Source organism: Homo sapiens, chromosome 3 (genome assembly GCF_000001405.40).
Source record: "Homo sapiens chromosome 3, GRCh38.p14 Primary Assembly".
In the NCBI taxonomy this organism is placed as follows: domain Eukaryota; kingdom Metazoa; phylum Chordata; class Mammalia; order Primates; family Hominidae; genus Homo; species Homo sapiens.
In genome coordinates, this window is record NC_000003.12 from 122124979 (window position 1) to 122143871 (window position 18893).

Consider the following 18893-nt stretch of genomic DNA (forward strand, 5'->3'; position numbering starts at 1 on the left):
GGTATAAAAATTTGGGTTGGAAATTATTTTCATTGTCCATAGTTTCCAGTGTTGCTCTTGAGAAATCTACAAATATTCTGACTCCTTATCTTTTTACATGAAAGCTTTTAGAATCTGCTCAGTGTTCTAAGATTTTGTCATGAAATGCCTGTTTGTCCATTGTGATTAACACTCAGATGGACTTTTCTTCTGGAAACTCATGTCCTTTCCTCCAGGGAAATTTTCCTGAATTATTTCATTGATTATTTTTCCCCTCTATTTCACTAGTCTCTCATTTTAGAATGTCAGATTCCTGAATGTTGAATCTCCTAGACTGATCCTCCAATTTTGTTATTTTCTCTCCTGTTGCCCATATTTTGTTTTTTGTTCCATTTCCTAGAGATTTTCTCAAGTTTATCTTCCAGCCTTTCTGTTGTACTTTTTACTTCTGCTATCATGTTTTATTTTCAGAGCTCCTTTTTGTTTTCTGAATGTTTCTTTTTGCAAGGAGCCTGTTCCTAATGGTTGAAATATTATCTCTTAACTCTCTTAGGATATTAACGATTAGGTTGTTTGTTTTTAAAGTTTTATATTCCAAGTTATTTCTTCCTGTTTGTTTGCTTTGATCTATATCATCCATGTTAAAGGATTCCCAGCTGTCTGATGATACTTGACTGTCTGTTCACAATTAAGAGTGAAAAACTAAAAGTTTGGAGGATCTGAGTTTATGGATGGGTTTGTCAACTTTAGCTTCATGGTAGAGGGATCTGGAGCAAGACATTTTTAGGAAATCATTTTTAGATCTTCTTTTTTGAGCTGGTAATTTTTCAGTATCTTGCTTGGAAGGTAGAGGTATAGCTGCTAGTATTTTGGGAGCCAAGTGAGAGAAGAGGGGTGGGTGTGAGTAGTGATGGAACCTCTGCATTCCTTATTCAGTATGCATAAATGTACTTACTCCATGTGTTTTTAGTACGATAGCCCTATCGTACTTGTAGCATGTGGCAAAGTGGTTTCTCTTCCCGTGACCTGATTATAACATTGATTCAGATTAAACATTGTGAACTCAGTTTCCTAAATATACCAAGTACAAAGTAAAAGTCACTAAATTGTCCTAACAGTCTACTAGAAATGGAAGAAATTCAGAAAGCAATGAGGAGAACCTTCCCATTGTATGTGGTACATGAGGGCAGAGAAGGGAGTAATTCACCCAACACCAAAAAGAGCCATGACCAGAACTCAGGTTCCTGATTTTTCAGTCCAGGGTTCTTCCCACCCCACTGTGCCCCTCTAAACTTCTTGTTAACTGGAAGAGCTGGAAAATGGGTGTCAACAGAGCATAATGAAGGAAGATCATGGACTTTAGGTCAGATAGACCTGACACCACTACACTTGACTGTGTGACCTTGGGCTAATTACTTAATCTCTGATTTTCAGTTTTCTTATTTGTAAAATAGGGATAATAATATCTACCTACCTTACAGGATCAAGGGCAATCCAAAAGATAAGGATTATACTGTTTAAAAAAGGAAAGGAAAGAAAAATAAAAGAGCCACAACAAACAAGCAATTGGGTAGCTTGTTTCAACAGGGTGGGCTTGAGGATGGTGAGTGAGAATTAGTAGTGGGAGGATGGCAACTTCATGTGAGGCTGATGTAGGAGGAGTTGTAGGTTGGGCTGTACATGGATTAACAGGCGTGGGCTTGGATTCTTTCATATAACACTCAGCCCAGAAGTCTTCCAAACACCCTGCTGAAAGCCAGAAATGCTCCTACAACTCCTCCTGCATCAGCCTCACATGAAGTCCCACTCTCAGGATCTCAACTTAGGGACTGAGATGATTCATGCTCTCACCTTATGCACGTGGAACTTTTCCAACTTTACCTTCTGAGACCAAAGCCAAGTTCCTGGGACCTTTATCTTTCCTTTGTCAAGATTATTTCCAGACAATCAATAATATCTACTTCTTTGTGAAGATAACAGGAAGCTCATTCCTTACTAAATATAACATGAAATTCTAAGCAGTTAAGCTGAGAATAAAAAGGACCAAAGGCTCCCAGTTAATATTTCGGAAAGCCCTTGTCTTGAGGAGCAGCCATGTAGAGGATGGTTTGTATCAGGGAGGGCCGTGCAAATTGGAGGCAGGTATACCAATTAGGAAACAGACATAGTTAGCCTCAACAAGTTTGGCATTTCTAAGGAGCTGAACTAGCAGAAGCCTCCTGAAATTTCTAGATTAGATCCTGGTGCCCAGGCTTATCAGACCAGGAGCAGGGCAAAGTAGACTTCATAACAAAAGTAAACTCAAATCAGAGGGAAATGGAAACTAACAGGAGCTGCTTTATTGGAGATGGACCACAGGAGCTTTCTGCACTCAAATGATATGGGGAAAAAGAAATCCTAAAATATAATGTTGGAAAAGTTGGATAGCCCAGGCATAGCTAGCAGATTGGAAATAGTATTAGGAATCACAGTTTTTTACTTAGTCACCATGTTGAAAAGATCCTTTTCTTTAGCATAGACCCAGCACAGGGGTGAGGTAGGGGCTAATTTCTGGCATGAGAGACCAGAGGCACAGAGTATGGAGCAAGAAGCAGGAGCTGATTGCTTTCAGATCACTAACTGCCAAATAATTAAAACATTTTCTTAAATTCATATTTTGCAACCCAGAACATATACCTGAAGCTTATTATTAGAACATATTAGGGTATAGTTACAATGCTAACTGGTGACACAAACTAGTTACATGCTGTTTCCACCAGTCTATCTGCCACTTTTTAACTACACACATCAAGTATTTGCCCCCAGGTTTCAGGTCTCAACCTCTGTAAGAACAGTTGAGCTGTGTCCACTTGACGGAAAAACAAGTCTATTACACTTTTTGTTTCAAAAAGTCAACCCATCCAATCAAATAAGTTCCTTTACACATATTTTAAAAAACACATTTACTAGCTTTCCTCCAATTTTCAATGTGTTTATTGAACTCTCTTGGAGTTACAGTCTGGGAGTATTTTTGAGACTCCTGTTATCAATTTAAAAAGAAAAGAAAAGGAAGGAATGCTTTTTTAAAAAACAATAAATCTTGTTCCTGTGTCTAAACCAGCCATGCATATTAACGTGTGTGACTTCTCAGAGTTTAAAGTGTTTTAGCTGGGAAAAAATATATTGTAGAAGACTTAAAGAAACAAGATGGCGGCCGGGCGCAGTGGCTCACGCCTGTAATCCCAGCACTTTGGGAGGCCGAGGCGGGCGGATCACGAGGTCAGGAGATCGAGACCATCCCAGCTAAAACGGTGAAACCCCGTCTCTACTAAAAATACAAAAAATTAGCCGGGCATAGTGGTGGGCGCCTGTAGTCCCAGCTACTTGGGAGGCTGAGGCAGGAGAATGGCGTGAACCCGGGAGGCGGAGCTTGCAGTGAGCCGAGATCCCGCCACTGCACTCCAGCCTGGGCGACAGAGCGAGACTCCGTCTCAAAAAAAAAAAAAAAAAAGAAAGAAACAAGATGGCATAGCAATGAGAATTTTAAGAGTTTTCATTCTCCCTGAGAAATTACTTATATGGAGAACTTATTAGGAGTGGTTTATTTGCAGCAGGAAATACAGTTATGATATAAGAAAACTCTTGATCATCAGGGTCTTAGGCATTAGAAACACTCAGATGCTATAATCCTATATCTAGAAAACCCCATAGTCTCTTCCAAAAGGCTCTGGATCTGATAAACAACTTCAGCAAAGTTTCAGGACTCAGAATCAATGTATCCAGGGTACAAAGTAACATTTTTATATACCAGTAACATCGTACATAAGTGCCAACTCAAGAATGCAATCCCATTCACAATTGCCACAAAAAAAATAAAATACAGCTAAACCAGGGAAGTGAACAATCTCTACAATGAGAATTACAAAATACTGCTGAAAGAAATCAGAGAAGATACAAACAAATGGAAATATATCACATGCTCATAGATAGGAAGAATCAGTATTGTTAAAATGGCCATGCTGCCCAAAGCAATTTACAGATTCAATGCTATTCTTATCAAACAACCAATGACATTTTTCACAGAATTAGAAATATCTATTCTAAAATTCAGATGGAATTCATGCAAGGCAGATGAGCCTCAAATTGGGGCTTATCCTGGGAGAGTCCTTGGCTTTGCTCAGTAAAGAATTCAAAAGTGAGTTGGTGGCTCATGCCTGTAATCCCAGCACTTTGGGAGTCCGAGGCGGGCAGATCACGAGGTCAGGAGATAGAAACCATCCTGGCTATGGTGAAACCCGGTCTCTACTAAAAATACAAAAAATTAGCCAGGTGTGGTGGCTGGTGCCTGTAGTCCCAGCTACTTGGGAGGCTGAGGCAGGAGAATGGCGTGAACCTGGGAGGCAGAGCTTGCAGTGAGCTGAGATCACGCCACTGCACTCCAGCCTGGGTGACAGAGCTAGACTCCGTCTCAAAAAAAAAAAAAAAAGTGAGTTGGTGGTGGAAGAAAACAGCTTTACTGAGGTGGCAGTGTTACAGCTCTGTGACTGCTCCTGCAGAGCAGGGCTACCCCATGTGCAGTGTGCTGAGAGCAGTAGCTCAAAGGCAGTGCTGCAGTCATATCTACTTTTAATTACATGCAAATTAAGGGGTGGATTATGCAGAAATTTCTAGAAAGAGTGGTAACTTCTGGGTTGTCAGGTCACTGCCATGAAAAGGGGCAGTAACTTGCAGGTGTTGCCATGGAAATTGTAAGCTGACACAGCACACTGGTGGGTATGTCTTATGGAAAGCTGCTTGTGCCCCATCCCTAGGGCATGTCTCAATTGAGCTAGTCCTCAATTTGGCCTGATGTCTGAGCCCAGAGTCCAGTCCTGCCTCCCACTTCAGAATCAAAAAGGAGCCGAAATAGCCAAAGTGATCCTAAGCAAAAAGAACAAAGCCAGAGGCATCACATTACCTGACTTCAAACTATCCTACAAGGCTATCATAACCCAAACAGCATGGTACTGTTACAAAAACAGATAGACCAATGGAACAGGTTAGAGAACCCAGAAATAAAGCCACACACCTACAACCATCTGATATTTGACAAAATCAACATTAACAAACAATGGGAAATGATTCTGTATTCAATAAATGGTGCTGGGATAGCTGGCTAGCCAATATGCAGAAGATTGAAACTGGACTCCTACGTTTCACCATATACAAAAATCAACTCAAGATGGATTAAAGACTTAAATGTAAAACCTAAAACTATAAAACCCTAGAAGAAAACCTAGGAAATACTGTTCTGGACATTGGCCCTGGCAAAGACTTCATGATGAAGACTCCAAAAGCAATTACGACAAAAACAAAAACTGGTAAGTGGGTCCTAATTAAACTAAAAAGCTTCTGCACAGCAAAAGAAACTATCAACACAGAAAAGAGACAATCTACAGAATGGGAGAAAATATTTGCAAACCATGCATCTGACAAAGGTCTAATATTCAGAATATAAAAGGAACTTAAATCAATAGGCAAAAACCAAACAACCCCATTTAAAAGTGGGCAAAGGACATTAACGAACAGACAGTTTTCAAAAGAAGATATACATGTAGCCAACAAGCATATGACAAAATGCCCAGTATCACTAATCATTGTGGAAATGCAAATCAAAACCACAGTGAGATACCATCTCATACCACTCATAATGGCTACTATTAAAAAGCCAAAAAATAACAGATGCTGGCAAGGTTGCAGAGAAAAGGGAACACTGGTACACTGCTGGTAGCAGTGTAAATTAGTTCAGCTGCTGTGTAAAGCAGTCTGGAGAATTCTCAAAGAACTTAAAACAGAGCTACCATTCGACTCAGCAATCCTGTTATTGGGTATAAAACTGGAATACAAATTGGAATACAAGGAATACAAATTGTTCTACCATAAAGATACATGCACACATATGTTCACGACAGTACTATTCACAATTACCAAAGACATGGAATCAACCCAGATGCCCATGAATGGTGGACTGAATAAAGAAAATGTAGTAAAGTTGCAAAGACAAAAAAAAATTTTATATCTTCTTAAACCTACGTAAGGTACATTATTGTTTGCCCCTTCCTCCTCTTCTTCCTCCTTCTCCTCCGCAATGCTGTTTATTGAGCATACCATATGCCAGGTACTGTGTTAAATAGTTTACATACATTATCTTGGGAAGAAAAAAAAAGGCTATCTTGCAAAAGTCTAAAAAGTTGTTTTAAGAAGAGAAGGGGGAATCAGATGGAAAGAAGAGTGAATTGAGATATTCTGAGAATTTAGAGAAGAAAAAAATTATGAGAGCAGCAAAACAGTGAACTAGTGTTTTGTTGTATTGTGGCAGGAGGAAGAGGTGTGATTTGAGCCCACGTTGTCCTCTGCTATGATTCAGGTATAAGTGATCATGAGGAGAAAACTGGTGGGGAAAAGGAGGATGCTAGGAAATAATCCATCCTGAAGAAAGCAGAATCCAGGCATGGATGTTTGATTCAGGAATCACGGAACCATTGTCAAAAGTGGATAAGTAGAGTTTTGAGGAAACCAGAATATATGTCACTCAGCTTATTGTCTAATTCATATTTGACCTGAAGATGGAGGCAGTTCTAAGAAAGAAGATCCATGGATCATTATGATGTCATGCACAACCTTTTTCCAGCCACACTTGAAACAAATCTACTCCTGGGCTTTTCCATTATGTGAGCCAATAGACTGTTTTCTTCTTGCTCTCTCTCTCCTTCTCTCCTTCAACTCCCTTTGTATTCCCCAAGTTGGTTTTGCTCCTCAATTCAAGCTTTCCATTCCATAAAAAAATAATTCCTAATTGATAAATTATAGAATGGAAAAGTGTTGACCTTGCTGAGTCCAAAGGCACAATCAATATTTTCAGCCCACCCTCTTTCTCTCTCAGGTTTTGTTCTTGGCTCAGATTTTCTTTTCATGTTGATCTCTGTCTCCTATTATAGGAAGATTCCTCTGTGCAGCTGGGAAAAATGACCACAGATGGCTCCAGTGTATGTTGTCTGCAGCATCTTTTCTGTTACCTCCAGCAAAAACATCCTTGAGGAGGATGCAGATTGGGCTCATTTGGGTCACAAGTTCATCCCTAAAGCCATCACCATGGCCAGAGATTTTTGACTTTATTAAAAAGACCAAGTATTTTTCTCTTCTGCTCCCTCCCCCAAATCCTAGGAGAATAGAGTTAACCCAAAATTAAATAAATAGAATGGGGGAAAGGTGGTATAATAGATATTGTTGTTTCCCCACCCTTACCTGGCCAAGGCATCCATCCCCCAGATGCTGTGTTGACTGTTAACAACCTACAGTTGCTCTCTTTGTAAGACTTGTCCTTGACCAAATAAGAACCCCTTCCCCTAATTCTATCTTTATTTAAAACTTTATTGTGTTCATCATGAATTTTTAAATTCATTTTTATTTAATATATTGCATTAAAATCGTATTAATCTTGATTGTTGAGTTTTTTTACTTTCTTTCAAATTTTACCCTGCTCACTTCACCCTAGTCCTGGCCCTGGCTAAGAAGCTATACTCCAGCCCTCCATCACCCCTCTAGGGACAGACCTCAGCCAATGATTAACTGATGTAGGGGTACAAAAGGTCACCCCCTTGCCTCAAGGTAGGGATAACTCTGTAGTAGAATTTGTGTTCCAGAGTTGCCCCAGGATCAGGCACTAAAGCTAGTCACCAGCTAAGACCACATTCTTGCTTTCATCCTTACCCTGTCCTGCCTTCCTCACTCTCTTTTCTTGAGAGTGTTCCACACATATCACTTGGATAAGATTACCTGCCTTAGGTTCTGCTTCTAGGGAAGCCTACCTAAGAAAGTTGATACCAGGAAGGGTCCTAGGAAGCAGACAGTAAGTGGAGGATTTTGTCGTTGGATTACTCACCAGCTGGATAACAGTAGGACCAGGTGCTGATACTGCCTGGATGCTGCATGCCACACACCAAAAAGCATTTTTGTGGCAACAGAAAAGGACTAAGACACTGTGAAAGTGGATTTTTAAGGCTTTTACCTGTAGTGAGCTGTAACGGGATACAGGTGCAAGGGGATTCGCTAACTGGTACAATATCCTAGGCTAGTGGTTTCAGTGATCTGCACATTAAAGTCACCTGGGAAACTTAAAAATTCCTAGGCCCAGACCACACCTAAGACTAATTACATTACAATCTCTGGGTTTAGGACACTGGCACCGGTATTTTTAGACACTCCCAGTTTATTCCTATGTGCTGACAAGTTTAGAAACTACTGCCTCAGGCAGTTGGGGCTTGTAGGGTAATAGTACCTGCAAGAAAGGATTGTGGAATTGGATAGCTATTGTTAATTATTATTGATTCATGGCAGAAAGAAAAATCTCAGGCTCAGATCTATTAATCAACAACTTTAAGGCCAGGTGCAGTGGCTCACGCCTGTAATTCCAGCGCTTTGGGAGGCCGAGGAGGGTGAATCATTTGAGGTCAGGAGGTCAAGACCAGCTTGGCCAACATGGTGAGACCGAATCTCTACTAAAAACACAAAAAATTAACCTGTTGTGGTGGCAGGTGCCTGTAATCCCAGCTATTCAGGAGGCTGAGGTAGGAGAATCGCTTGAACCTGGGAGGTAGAGGTTGCATTGAGCTGAGATCGTGCCACTGCACTCCAGCCTAGGCCACAGAGTGAGTCTCAAAAAAAAAAAAGTTTGTTCATGTCCTTCGTCCACTTTTTGATGGGGTTGTTTGTTTTTTTCTTGTAAATTTGTTTGAGTTCATTGTAGATTCTCGATATTAGCCATTTGTCAGATGAGTAGGTTGTGAAAATTTTCTCCCATTTTGTAGGTTGCCTGTTCACTCTGATGGTAGTTTCTTTTGCTGTGCAAAAGCTCTTTAGTTTAATTAGATCCCATTTGTCAGTTTTGGCTTTTGTTGCCATTGCTTTTGGTGTTTTACACATGAAGTCCTTGCCCTTGCCTATGTCCTGAATGGTAATGTCTAGGTTTTCTTCTAAGGTTTTTATGGTTTTAGGTCTAACGTTTAAGTCTTTAATCCATCTCGAATTGATTTTTGTATAAGGTGTAAGGAAGGGATCCAGTTTCAGCTTTCTACATATGGCTAGCCAGTTTTCCCAGCACCATTTATTAAACAGGGAATCCTTTCCCCATTGCTTGTTTTTGTCAGGTTTGTCAAAGATCAGATAGTTGTAGATATGCAGCGTTATTTCTGAGGGCTCTGTTCTGTTCCATTTATCTATATCTCTGTTTTGGTACCAGTACCATGCTGTTTTGGTTACTGTAGCCTTGTAGTATAGTTTGAAGTCTCAAAAGAAGACATTTATGCAGCCAAAAACACATGAAAAAATGCTCACCATCACTGGCCATCAGACAAATGCAAATCAAAACCACAATGAGATACCATCTCACATCAGTTAGAATGGCAATCATTAAAAAGTCAGGAAACAACAGGTGCTGGAGAGGATGTGGAGAAATAGGAACACTTTTACACTGTTGGTGGGACTGTAAACTAGTTCAACCATTGTGGAAGTCAGTGTGGCGATTCCTCAGGGATCTAGAACTAGAAATACCATTTGACCCAGCCATCCCATTACTGGGTATATACCCAAAGGACTATAAATCATGCTGCTATAAAGACACATGCACACGTATGTTTATTGTGGCATTATTCACAATAGCAAAGACTTGGAACCAACCCAAATGTCCAACAATGATAGACTGGATTAAGAAAATGTGGCACATATACACCATGGAATACTATGCAGCCATAAAAAATGATGAGTTCATGTCCTTTGTAGGGACATGGATGAAATTGGAAATCATCATTCTCAGTAGACTATCGCAAGAACGAAAAACCAAACACCGCATATTCTCACTCATAGGTGGGAATTGAACAATGAGAACACATGGACACAGGAAGGGGAACATCACACTCTGGGGACTGTTGTGGGGTGGGGGGAGGGGGGAGGGATAGCATTGGGAGATATATCTAATGCTAGATGACGAGTTAGTGGGTGCAGCGCACCAGCATGGCACATGTATACATATGTAACTAACCTGCACATTGTGCACATGTACCCTAAAACTTAAAGTATAATAATTAAAAAAAAAGTTTAAGCAAACTGTGAGAGTCAAAGTATCTCCTTGGAAGCATTTAAAGACACTCATTTCCTGCAGCAGGAGAGCTGCACAACTGAAGATCAGGTTGAGGATTTTAGTAAGAATTTTTAGTTGCCTAAACCCCTCGGTCTGCAGAAGTGACCAACTCTCCCTTGTTAGATAGAGACCTTCTATTTCTTGAAGGCTATTAAGAGGTATCAAACAAGGCAATGCTTTGCAAATAAAGTTGCCAGATAAAATGCAAGATGCCCAGTTAAATTTTAATTTCAGATAAACTGTGAATAATTATTAAATTTTCATGAATTATTACAGTATCATAATCTCCTGTATCCTGTTTTTTTATTGCTAAATCTGGCATCCCTATTTATAAGGTAATACTTACCCTACTCAGGATCTGCCCTAACCTTTCATCTGGCCTCCAGAAACATTTTTAAGAATGGAGGGTGGGAAGAGGGTGAGAATCAAAAAACTATCTATCGGGTTCTATGTGCATTAATAGAAATGATGCACATAGTTGCATCATTTCTATTAATGATGCAAAAAGTGATGAAATAATCTGTATGCCAAATCCCCAAGACATGCAATTTACCCATATAACAAACCTGCACATGTACCCCCAAACCTAAAATAAAAGTTAGAAAGGGAAAAAAAAATCAGCAAAACCTGATTGAGGAAGTATGAGGCTTGCTAAGGGAAGAGAGAGAAAATATGCCAAAGGAGCTGTAGGACCTGGTAGGAGGGGAATAAGGTTTATTGAAAATCCAGTAATATCTGTTATCTCTAGGCAGGAATGACAGTATCAAATTCTATGTCAGAAGTGGGCTTTACAGTATCAATGGGATAAGTGTATTAGTTTGTTTTGTACTGAATACCTGATAGAATACCTGAGACTGGGAAATTCATAAAAATTAGAGATTTATCTCTTCCAGTTCTGGAGGCTGGGAAGTCCCAGGCTGAGGTGCCCTCATCTGGCAAGGGACTTCTTGCTGTGTCATCCCATGGTGGAAGGTGGAAAGGCAAGAGAGCACACAAGCACACAGGCACAAACATGCATGAGACAGAGAGAGAGAGAAGGGGGCAAATCTGCTTTTATGAAGAACTCACTCTCACAATAATGAACCCACTCCTGCAATCATGACATAATCCATTTATGAGGGCAGAGCCCTCATAACTTAATCACCTCTTAAAGTTCAGGTCCCACCTCTCAACACTGTTGCATTGATAATTAAGTTTCTAACACATAAACTTTGGAGGACATATTCAAACCATACCACCTGTTTATTAGTTATTATTATGTTTATTATAATTGCAGATACATTTCTGCTTAAATCTATCATTTTATTTTATGCTTTTTATTTGTCTCACCTGTTCCATGTGTGTTTTCTCTTTTTTTATTGCCTTTTTTTAGATTGTTTTAAAACATACTAGTTTTTTTCCTCCACTAGGTGTGAAATTAAACATTCTCTTTCCATTATTTGAAAGGCTTCTATAGAAATTACCACATACAAGCTTAACTTATGGAAGTCTACAATTAATCACTATCTCTTATTGAACAAGGTCCACAGAACATTTTAATATCATTTAAACTCCTTCCAACTTACATATTATTTTTTCATGTATTTAAATATCTTTTCTTCTGCTAACAATAACAACATCATTATTCCTTGATTTGATTCATTTCCCTTAAATTTACCCACATATTTACTCTTCACTGCACTTTATTCCTTTTTACATTACAGCCTTTCTCTGTAGGATTATTTTCTGCCTATATACGGAGTATACACGTTAGAAATTCTTTTAGGGAGGGTCTGCTGTTGGAAAAATCTCTTAGTTTGTATTTACCCTATTCATGACAGGTGTAAAATTGTATGTTGGCAATTATTTTCTCAGTGCATTGAAGGTTATTATTCCACTGTCTTTTAGCACTCCTCATTATGAAGAAGCCAACTGACAAGTTGTTACTTCTTTGAAAGCAATCTGTCTTTTTTCTTTTTCTTTTTCTTTTTATTATTATTATTATACTTTTAGTTTTAGGGTACATGTGCACAACGTGCAGGTTTGTTACATACGTATACATGTGCCATGTTGGTGTGCTGCACCCATTAACTCGTCATTTAGCATTAGGTATATCTCCTCATGCTATCCCTCCCTCTCCCCCCTCCCCCCACCCCACAACAGGCCCCAGTGTGTGATGTTCCCCTTCCTGTGTCCATGTGTTCTCATTGTTCAATTCCCACCTATGAGTGAGAACATGCGGTGTTTGGTTTTTTGTCCTTGCCATAGTTTGCTGAGAATGATGGTTTCCAGCTTCATCTATGTCCCTACAAAGGACATGAACTCACCATTTTTTATGGCTGCATAGTATTCCATGGTGTATATGTGCCACATTTTCTTAATCCAGTCTATCTTTGTTGGACATTTGGGTTGGTTCCAAGTCTTTGCTATTGTGAATAGTGCCACAATAAACATACGTGTGCATGTGTCTTTATAGCAGCATGATTTATAATCCTTCGGGTATATACCCAGTAATGGGATGGCTGGGTCAAATGGTATTTCTAGTTCTAAATCCCTGAGGAATTGCCACACTGACTTCCACAATGGTTGAACTAGTTTACAGTCCCACCAACAGTGTAAAAGTGTTCCTATTTCTCCCCATCCTCTCCAGCACCTGTTGTTTCCTGACTTTTTAATGATTGCCATTCTAATTGGTGTGAGATGGTATCTCATTGTGGTTTTGATTTGCATTTCTCTGATGGCCAGTGATGATGAGCATTTTTTCATGTGTCTTTTGGCTGCATAAATGTCTTCTTTTGAGAAGTGTCTGCTCATATCCTTCACCCACGTTTTGATGGGGTTGTTTGTTTTTTTCTTGTAAATTTGTTTGAATTCATTGTAGATTCTGGATATTAGCCCTTTGTCAGATGAGCAGGTTGCAAAAATTTTCTCCCATTCTGTAGGTTGCCTGTTCACTCTGATGGTAGTTTCTTTCACTGTGCAGAAGCTCTTTAGTTTAATTAGATCCCATTTGTCAATTTTGGCTTTTGTTGCCATTGCTTTTGGTGTTTTAGACATGAAGTCCTTGCCCATGCCTATGTCCTGAATGGTATTGCCTAGGTTTTCTTCTAGGGTTTTCATGGTTTTAGGTCTAACATGTAAGTCTTTAATCCATCTTGAATTAATTTTTGTATAAGGTGTAAGGAAGGGATCCAGTTTCAGCTTTCTACATATGGCTAGTCAGTTTTCCCAGCACCATTTATTAAATAGGGAATCCTTTCCCCATTTCTTGTTTTTGTCAGGTTTGTCAAAGCTCAGATAGTTGTAGATATGCGGCATTATTTCTGAGGGCTCTGTTCTGTTCCATTGGTCTATACCTCTGTTTTGGTACCAGCACCATGCTGTTTTGGTTACTGTAGCCTTGTAGTATAGTTTGAAGTCAGGTAGTGTGATGCCTCCAGCTTTGTTCTTTTGGCTTAGGATTGACTTGGCAATGTGGGCTCCTTTTTGGTTCCATATGAACTTTAAAGTAGTTTTTTCCAATTCTTTGAAGAAAGTCATTGGTAGCTTGATGGGGATAGCATTGAATCTATAAATTACCTTGGGCAGTATGGCCATTTTCACAATATTGCTTCTTCCTACCCATGAGCATGGAATGTTCTTCCATTTGTTTGTTTGTTTGTATCCTCTTTTATTTCATTGAGCAGTGGTTTGTAGTTCTTGAAGAGGTCCTACACATCCCTTGCAAGTTGGATTGCTAGGTATTTTATTCTCTTTGAAGCAATAGTGAATGGAAGTTCACTCTTGATTTGGCTCTCTGTTTGTCTGTTATTGGTGTATAAGAATGCTTGTGATTTTTGCACATTGATTTTGTATCCTGAGAGTTTGCTGAAGTTGCTTATCAGCTTGAGGAGATTTTGGGCTGAGACGATGGGGTTTTCTAGATATACAATCATGTCATCTGCAAACAGGGACTATTTGACTTCCTCTTTTCCTAAATGAATACCCTTTATTTCCTTCTCCTGCCTGATTGCCCTGGCCAGAATTTCCAACACTATGTTGAATAGGAGTGGTGAGAGAGGGCATCCCTGTCTTGTGCCAGTTTTCAAAGGGAATGCTTCCAGTTTTTGTCCATTCCGTATGATATTGGCTGTGGGTTTGTCATAGATAGCTCTTATTATTTTGAGATACATCCCATCAATACCTAATTTATTGAGAGTTTTTAGCTTGAAGAGTTGTTGAATTTTGTCAAAGGCCTTTTCTGCATCTATTGAGATAATCATGTGGTTTTTGTCTTTGGTTCTGTTTATATGCTGGATTACATTTATTGATTTTCGTATGTTGATCCAGCCTTGCATGCCAGGGATGAAGCCCACGTGATCATGGTGGATAAGCTTTTTGATGTGTTGCTGGATTCGGTTTGCCAGTATTTTATTGAGGATTTTTGCATCAATGTTCATCAAGGATATTGGTCTAAAATTCTCTTTTTTTGTTGTGTCTCTGCCAGGCTTTGGTATCAGGATGATGCTGGCCTCATAAAATGAGTTAGGGAGGATTCCCTCTTTTTCTATTGATTGGAATAGTTTCAGAAGGAATGGTACCAGCTCCTCCTTGTACCTCTGGTAGAATTCGGCTGTGAATCCATCTGTTCCTGGACTTTTTTTGGTTGGTAAGCTATTAATTATTGCCTCAATTTCAGAGCCCGTTATTGGTCTATTCAGAGATTCAACTTCTTCCTGGTTTAGTCTTGGGAGAGTGTATGTGTCCAGGAATTTATCCATTTCTTCTAGATTTTCTAGTTTATTTGCGTAGAGGTGTTTATGATATTCTCTGATGGTAGTTTGTATTTCTGTGGGATTGGTGGTGATATCCCCTTTGTCATTTTTTATTGCATCTATTTGATTCTTCTCTCTTTTCTTCTTTATTAGTCTTGCTAGTGGTCTATCAATTTTGTTGATCTTTTCAAAAAAAAACAGCTCCTGGATTCGTTGATTTTTTGAAGGGTTTTTTGTGCCTCTATTTCCTTCAGTTATGCTCTGATCTTAGTTATTTCTTGCCTTCTGCTAGCTTTTTAATGAGTTTGCTCTTGCTTCTCTAGTTCTTTTAATTGTGATGTTAGGGTGTCAATTTTAGATCTTTCCTGCTTTCTCTTGTGGGCATTTAGTGCTATAAATTTCCCTCTACACACTGCTTTAAATGTGTCCCAGAGATTCTGGTATGTTGTGTCTTTGTTCTCGTTGGTTTCAAAGAACATCTTTATTTCTGCCTTCATTTCATTATGTACCCGGTAGTCATTCAGGAGCAGGTTGTTCAGTTTCCATTAGTTGAATGGTTTTGAGTGAGTTTCTTAATCCTGAGTTCTAGTTTGATTGCACTATGGTCTGAGAGACAGTTTGTTATAATTTCTGTTCTTTTACATTTGCTGAGGAGTGCTTTATTTCCAACTATGTGATCAATTTTGGAATAGGTGTGGTGTGGTGCTGAGAAGAATGTATATTCTGTTGATTTGGGGTGGAGAGTTCTGTAGATGTCTATTAGGTCCGCTTGGTGCAGAGCTGAGTTTAATTCCTGAATATCCTTGTTAACTTTCTGTCTCGTTGATCTGTCTAATGTTGACAGTGGGGTGTTAAAGTCTCCCACTATTATTGTGTGGGAGTCTAAGTCTCTTTGTACGTCACTAAGGACTTGCTTTATGAATCTGGGTGCTCCTGTATTGGGTGCATATATATTTAGGATAGTTAGTTCTTCTTGTTGAATTGATCCCTTTAGCATTATGTAATGGCCTTCTTCGTCTCTTTTGATCTTTGTTGGTTTAAAGTCTGTTTTATCAGAGACTAGGATTGCAACCCCTGCCTTTTTTTGTTTTCCATTTGCTTGGTAGATCTTCCTCCATCCCTTTATTTTGAGCCTATGTGTGTCTCTGCACATGAGATGGGTTTCCTAAATACAGCACACTGATGGGTCTTGACTCTTTATACAATTTGCCAGTCTGTGTCTTTTAATTGGAGCACTTAGCCCATTTACATTTAAGGTTAGTATTGTTATGTGTGAATTTGATCCTGTCATTATGATGTTAGCTGGTTATTTTGCTCGTTAGTTGATGCAGTTTCTTCCTAGCCTTAATGGTCTTTACAATTTGGCGTATTTTTGCAGTGGCTGGTACCAGTTGTTCCTTTCCATGTTTAATGCTTCCCTCAGGAGCTCTTTTAGGGCAGGCCTGGTGGTGACAAAATCTCTCAGCATTTGATTGTCTGTAAAGGATTTTATTTCTCCTTCACTTATGAAGCCTAGTTTGGCTGGATATGAAATTCTGGGTTGAAAATTCTTTTCTTTAAGAATGTTGAATATTGGCCCCCACTCTCTTCTGGCTTGTAGAGTTTCTGCCAAGAGATCAGCTGTTAGTCTGATGGGCTTCCCTTTGTGGGTAACCCGACCTTTCTCTTTGGCTGCCCTTAACATTTTTTCCTTCATTTCAACTTTGGTGAATCTGACATTATGTGTCTTGGAGTTGCTCTTCTCGAGGAGTATCTTTGTGGCGTTCTCTGTATTTCCTGAATTTGAATGTTGGCCTGCTTTGCTAGATTGGGGACGTTCTCCTGGATAATATCTTGCAGAGTGTTTTCCAACTTGGTTCCATTCTCCCCGTCACTTTCAGGTACACCAATTAGACGTAGATTTGGTCTTTTCACATAGTCCCATATTTCTTGGAGGCTTTGTTTGTTTCTTTTTATTCTTTTTTCTCTAAACTTCTCTTCACACTTCATTTCATTCATTTCATCTTCCATCGCTGATACCCTTTCTTCCAGTTGATCGCATCGGTTACTGAGGCTTGTGCATTCGTCACGTAGTTCTCGTGCCGTGGTTTTCAGCTCCATCAGGTCCTTTAAGGACTTCTGTGCATTAATTATTCTAGTTATCCATTCGTCTAATTTTTTTTTCAAAGTTTTTAACTTCTTTGACATTGGTTCGAACTTCCTCCTTCAGCTTGGAGTAGTTTGATCTTCTGAAGCCTTCCTCTCTCAGCTCGTCAAAGTCATTCTCTGTCCAGCTTTGTTCCATTGCTGGTGAGGAGCTGCATTCCTTTGGAGGAGGAGAGGTGCTCTGATTTTTAGTTTCCGGTTTTTCTGCTCTGTTTTTTTCCCCGTCTTTGTGATTGTATCTACTTGTGGTCTTTGATGATGGTGACATAGGGATGGGTTTTTTGGTGTGGATGTCCTTTCTGTTTGCTGGTTTTCCTTCTCACAGTCAGGACTCTCAGCTGCAGGTCTGTTGGAGTTTACTGGAGGTCCACTCCAGACCCTGTTTGCCTGGGTATCAGCAGCGATGGCTGCAGAACAGTGGATATTGGTGAACCGCAAATGCTGCTGCCTGATCGTTCCTCTGGAAGTTTTGTCTCAGAGGAGTACCCGGCCATGTGGGGTGTCAGTCCGCCCCTACTGGGGGGTGCCTCCCAGTTAGGCTACTCGGGGGTCAGGGACCCAGTTGAGGAGGCAGTCTGCCCGTTCTCAGATCTCAAGCTGCATGCTGGGAGAACCACTACTCTCTTCAAAGCTGTCAGACAGGGACATTTAAGTCTGCAGAGGTTACTGCGGTCTTTTTGTTTGTCTGTGCCCTGCCCCAGAGGTGGAGCCTACAGAGGCAGGCAGGCCTCCTTGAGCTGTGGTGGGCTCCACCTAGTTCAAGCTTCCTGGCCACTTTGTTTACCTACTCAAGACTAAGCAATGGTGGGCACCCCTCCCCCAGCCTCGCTGCCACCTTGCAGTTTGATCTCAGACTGCTGAGCTAGCAATGAGCAAGGCTCCGTGGGTGTAGGACCCTCCGAGCCAGGTGCGGGATATAATCTCCTGGTGTGCCGTTTGTTAAGCCCATTGGAAAAGCCCAGTATTAGGGTGGGAGTGACCCAATTTTCCAGGTGCAGTCTGTCACCCCTTTCTTTGACTAGGAAAGGGAATTCCCTGACCCCTTGCACTTCCCGGGACAGGCAATGCCTCACCCTGCTTCGGCTCATGCACGATGCACTGCACCCACTGTCCGGCACTCCCCAGTGAGATGAACCCGTTACCTCAGTTGGAAATGCAGAAATCACCCGTCTTCTGCATTGCTCACGCTGGGAGCTGTAGACTGGAGCTGTTCCTATTCGGCCATCTTGGCTCCACCCTCTGTTTTTTTTTTTATGAGATGGAGTCTCGCTCTGTCACCCAGGCTGGAGTGCAGTGGTGCAATCTTGGCTCACTGCAGCCTCTGCCTCCCCGTTTCAAGCAACTCTCCTGCCTCAGCCTCTCAAGTAGCTGGGACTACAGGCATGCGCTGCCACGCCCAGCTAATTTTTGTATTTTTAGTAGAGATGGGGTTTCACCATGTTGGCCAGGATGATCTTGATCTCTTGACTTCGTGTTCTGCCTGTCTCAGCCTCCCAACATGTTGGGATTACAGGTGTGAGCCACCACGCCTGGCCTCTGGCTTCTTTTAAAATCTTCTCTTTGTCTTTGAAATTCTAAAGTTACATGATAATGTGTGTAGATATGGATTTCTTTTTATTTATGTTGTTTGGGCTTTATTAAGCTTCTTGAGTCAGTGTTTTAGTGTCTCTTCTTCATTTCCATTTATGTCAGCCATTCAATCTTTTTGGAGGCTGCCATTCAATCCACTACACTTATCGTTGTTCTTCTCCAGTGATTGGCCTCCTTAAAAAAAAAAACAAAAAAACAAAAAAAAAACTTGTATTGAGGAAGAGGAACATCTACTGGATTTGAGCTATTTCCAACAGAAACCAAGACCCATAACTAGTATATGTGGATGAACA